Source organism: Homo sapiens, chromosome 20 (genome assembly GCF_000001405.40).
Source record: "Homo sapiens chromosome 20, GRCh38.p14 Primary Assembly".
NCBI lineage: Eukaryota > Metazoa > Chordata > Mammalia > Primates > Hominidae > Homo > Homo sapiens.
In genome coordinates this window covers 56,169,782-56,175,134 of record NC_000020.11, presented here as the reverse complement: position 1 = coordinate 56,175,134, position 5,353 = coordinate 56,169,782, and positions in this window count along the sequence as shown.

Genomic DNA, 5,353 nt, shown 5'->3' with positions numbered 1-5,353 from the left:
AGACCCCCATCTCTAAACACAGTCATATTGAGGGCTAGAGCTTGAACATATAAATTCTGGGAGGTACTCAAGTCAGTCTATAACAACCTCTCATTTGATACTCATCATATCCTGGCTTGCTGGGCAATAATTTGTGTGCCCATCAAATAGAACTAAAATGGTTGTGCTAGATTAGTTAATTATTTGGCAAATATAAACCCCTCCCTCCTAGCTCCATGGCTGGAGTATATTTCCCTGTTTCTTGATTTTCGTTTTGGCTATGTGGCTTGCTTTGGCCAATGGCCAGTTAGCAGATGTAAGCAGAGTCTTGAAATTTGCTCCTGTGGTTGGAGTTTCCCTACTCAGCTATTGCTGTTCTCTATGAGTAGAACAAGCCTCAGTAGCCACAAGTCCAAGGAGGATCAGAGACACATGGAGTGGACTTGGACCCAACCTGCATCTTGAAACCAGGCCCAGCTCAATTCCAGCGAACCTGCAGATGTGTGTGTAAGAGACTGGTGCTTGTTGTTGGATGTCCTTGAGCTTTGGAGTGCTTTGTTACACAATATTATTAGGATAACAACCGACGAACACAATCCTGAGTATTTACTGAATCCTTATCATGTTCTAGAACAATGCTCAACAGTTTGTATGCATTATTTAATCATTTAACTATTGCAAGACCCCTGTGATATAGATAAGCTTATTTCTATCATTTACTAGATAAGGAAATTGAGACTCAAAGAGGTGAAATGCCATGCCGAGAGTCACCTGGCTAGGCAGTAGCAGAGCCAGGATCTGAACCCAGGCCAGTTTGATGCTTATGTTAAATATCCCTACAACTGTGAGCTTCAGGTGAATGGAGCAGCGGCTTTTTTTCAAAGCTGGGACTGGAATTTCCTGGCTTCTGACTTCCCCTTTAATGATCTTCTCTACAAAACAGAAAAGTCGCTATTTGTAGCCTCTTCCAAAACTACCTTGGATTCAGTAGCTCCTTTTAATTGTCTAGATCAAGCTCTATAGAATTGCTTTCTTTTTGAGATTCTGCTGCACAGTGCATCCTGCTAGTATTGTGTATGTTGCAAGCAGCTTGCAAAGGTTATTTGATCTATAGGATGAATTTCCCAAATCTCTCACCACCCACAATTTTCAAGAATTCTCCCACGCTTGCCTTTATAACTTGTCTACCCAGCAGATAATACAGCCCTTCTTTATCTTTGACTCTCTCACCCCCCTTTCTTCTTCCCTGGTCTTTTTCTACCTGTTTGCTGGTTCTTAGTTTGGGGGCATATGGTTGAATCAATTAATAGAGGATTTGTAGAATCACAAGTGCAGTTATTAAAGAACGATGTAATTAACTTCTTCAGACTAATTGAAAACTTTCATTTAGAAGGAGCAGCCAAGTGCCTCCTTGCTCAAATGGCTTTCTCACATAAAACAGTCCTCATGAAAAGATTCTTTAATGTGTGTCCATAAACCAGAGACCTCTGAGCTGCCGCAAAACTTTGGGAAAAGAATGAAGTCATTTCTCTCTCTTCCCCTCCTCCCTCTCTTAAAGTATCCCCGGAGTTATACAACGTCCACTACATTGTGCTGCTTCGCAAATCATAGGATAAAGTCAGGAGAAATGAGTCAGGGGAAAGAGGATCTGGCATGATGTGCCTTTGATTGGGAGAGTGAAGAAAAGAGACAGTGTGGCTCTTGTCTGTCTGGCATCTAATGCTGCTGCTTCTGGTGCCAGCAGAAGATTTCCATCTGGGAAGAATTGAGGAAATTTCCCTCAATTTCTATGTGAGGGGCCACACCTCCAGTTGTCTCTGTCTGGGCCCTCTCGGATGGTGCTTTCCCAGCTTCCCATCCTCAGGTCCCAGGGCTGCTCACATGATCCAGCTCTGTGCACTCAGATGACTATACTTCCTGGTTGCAGGAAGTGATTGGTTCAGGGATTAGCATGTGATTCTCCAAGTGGACCAATGGAGTGCAAACTGAGATGGCTGCTGAAATTACAGAGCAGAGAAACTCAGTTTCCACAGGGATTGCTGAGCTGCTAGGGTGTCTGCCTCGGCCTATTGGCAGCCATTTTGCTATTGGGAAGGGAAAGCATACCTGTGAATAAAGCCAACACCTAGCATGGGGTAGACGTCACAGGAGCCCTTTGAGGGCTTGGGTCCTTCTCTGAGTTAGCCTTAATAAAAGAAAAACTTCAGCCAAATTAAATTTAAAGGAGTTTAATTGAGCAATGAATGATTCACGAATTGGGCTGCCCCCAGAATCACAGCAGATTCACAGAGACTCCAGCGCAGCCACATGGTGGAAGAAGATTTATAGAGAAAAAAAGGGAAATGACGTACAGAAATCGGAAATGACGTACAGAAATCGGAAATGAGGTACAGAACGGCTGGATTGGTTACAGCTTGGCGTTTGCTTTATTTGAACACAGTCTGAACACTCAGCAGTGTATGAATAGTTGAAGTATGACCGCTGGGATTGGCCAAGACTCAGCTATTGTTACAGGCGCCTACTCCTAAGTTAGGTTTTCAGTCTTGTCTACTTACTAAGCTAGATTGCAGTTCGTCCACAAGGACTCGAATATAGAAGTACAGAGTCCTTCTCAGGCCATATTTAGTTTGCTTTAACAGTCTCTACTCCTGAACTTTCCAATTGTATGTGCCTATTACTGGCATTTTCCCCCTCTTAATCCACTGGATTGAGGTCTTTTTCTTTTTTCTTTTTTCTTTCTTTTTTTTTTTTTTTTGAGACAGAGTCTTGCTCTGTCGCCCAGGCTGGAGTGCAGTGGCTCGATCTTGGCTCACTGCAAGCTCCTCCTCCCGGGTTCACGCCATTCTCCTGCCTCAGCCTCCCGAGTAGCTGGGACTACAGGGGCCCGCCACCACACCTGGCTAATTTTTTTGTGTTTTTAGTAGAGACGGGGTTTCACCGTGTTCGCCAGGATGGTCTCAATCTCCTGACCTCGTGATCCGCCCGCCTTGGCCTCCCAAAGTGCTGGTATTACAGGCATGAGCCACCGCACCGGCTGGTCTTTTTTGACTCAAAGAGACTAATAGAGCAATTATGTAGTCAAGTGTTGACTTTGGGTCTCGACAGAGGACAGGCTATGCTAATCATCACAGGTGGAGACATGCTTGAGCCACGCCTCTTGGCTGGAGGATAACAGGATTTAGAAACCTAGAGGGCACAGAATATTACTAGGGGGCTTTTGATTCAGCCTCTGAGATTCTTAGAGTGAGTTTCACTTTTTCTGAAGGGCACTTGAAGGCAGCAGCCAGGAACACGCTGCCATGGACCTTCACTGCTGCAGACAGACTCTGACCCCTAGCAGAATGGCTGTGATCTCAGGCTCTGCAGCCAGCAGACTTTGGCTTGAAGTCCAGTTCTGTTACCTCCAGCGAGTGTGATCTGGGGGCAAGAGAAAGGCCCTTTCTGAGCCTCAGTATCTCCACATGTAAAGTGCAAATGATAACCATCTCTACTTTGTGATGATGTGCTGAGGCTTCCCTGGGCTTATGTTTATGGAGTGCTTAGCTCAGTGCTTGGGATTAGTTATGTGCTAAAAATGTTGGCTATTATTGCTGCGGGCAGGGTTTGTACTAACTACTGTATTGAATGGAGACTTAGGACAGTCAGAGGTAACTTGACTATAGGAGATCTCAGCCCACCAGTGTGAGGAGTTTTGAGGAAGGAGAAAGACAGCCCTATCAATATCCTTATTCCAATTCCTAGTAGGGAAATCAGTTTGGATTTCATGATGATGATAGCATCCACTGATGCCACTGTGCAGCTGCACTGTGCGTGGAACTTCACCAGGCTTGAGCTGAGCCATCTCCTTGGAGCAATGGGTGCAGATGGTTTTAGGTTCCACCAGAGGGCACAGGCTGCAACAAAAAGATTTCCATGACTGGCTACAGGGATGCTTAGGCCAGGGACACTTGGGTGATGGCAAAACTATGTTTGACAGTTAAGAACAGCAGGGTAGAAGTCAGTAGCCTAATTCCTGCAGGCAAACTCGAACTTCAGCAGAATGATAAAGATCTTTGTTTAATCCTTACAAGAACCGCAAGTGGTAGATATGATTATTTTCTCTATTTTACGCTAAAAGGAAAAATGCTTAAAGAGGTTGTGTCACTTTGCTGAGATGGCATCCAGCATATGAGAGGAGAACCTGGAGTTTAAACTTGGGTCTCTCAACGGCCTAACCACCGAGCTACATGGTCTCCAGGTTTGAATGGACCTTGGTAACCCAAAAAGAAAATGCTGGACCTCCAACTGATGTGCTGTATTAGTCTTTCTTTCAGAAGAGTCCTGATTTCCCTCTGGAAGGTTATGTGTAAGCTGTTCTTAGAAAAAAGCAAGAGAGTGTTCTAGGTCGTTTTGTGATTCCCATCTCATTGGCTAACAACTGGGACTTGGTAAATATTTTGTTAGGTAAGTGACAGATTAACTCAAAATATACCTTCAAATCTGACAAATGCTACAGCCCTCTGCACAGGCCCAGGAGGTAATTTAGCATAATGCTTAATCTCATGGGATTTGGAGCCAGTCTGGCAGGATTCAAATCCTGGCCTCTCCACTTATTCCACTTATGACTTTGTCCCAATTACTTCATCTCTTTTAGCCCCAGTTTTCTCAACTGTAGAATGGAGAGCTGTATAGTTCCTTCTAATGCTGCTAATAAAGACATATCCAAGACAGAGTAATTTATAAAGGAAAGAGGTTTAATGGACTCACAGTTCCACATGGTTGGGGAGGCCTCACAATCATGGTGGAAGGCAAAGGAGAAGCGAAGGCACGTCTTACGTGGTGGCAGGCAAGAGAGTGTGTGCAGGGGAACTGCCCTTTATAAAACCATCAGATGGCATGAGACTTATTCACTATCACAAGAACAGCATGGAAAAAACCTGCCCTCATGATTCAGTTACCTCCCACCAGGTCCCTCCCATGACATGGGGTTATGGGAGCTACAATTCAAGATGAGATTTGAGTGGAAACACAGCCAAACCATATCACGATCCATCCTAAAGACACCTATATCTGCCCGGTGCAGTGGCTCACGCCTGTAATCCCAACACTTTGGGAGGCCAAGGTGGGTGGATCACAAGGTCAGGAGTTCGAGACCAGCCTGGCCAACATGATGAACCCCGTCTCTACTAAAAATACAAAAATTAGCCAGGTGTGGTGGCATGCACCTGGGATCCCAGCTACTCGGGAGGCTGAGGCAGGAGAATTGCTTGAACCCGGGAGGCAGAGGTTGCAGTGAGCCGAGACCACGCCACTGTACTCCAGCCTGAGCAACAAAGCAAGACTCCGTCTCAGAAAAAAAAAAAGGCACCTATATCTACATAGGGTTGTTGCATTA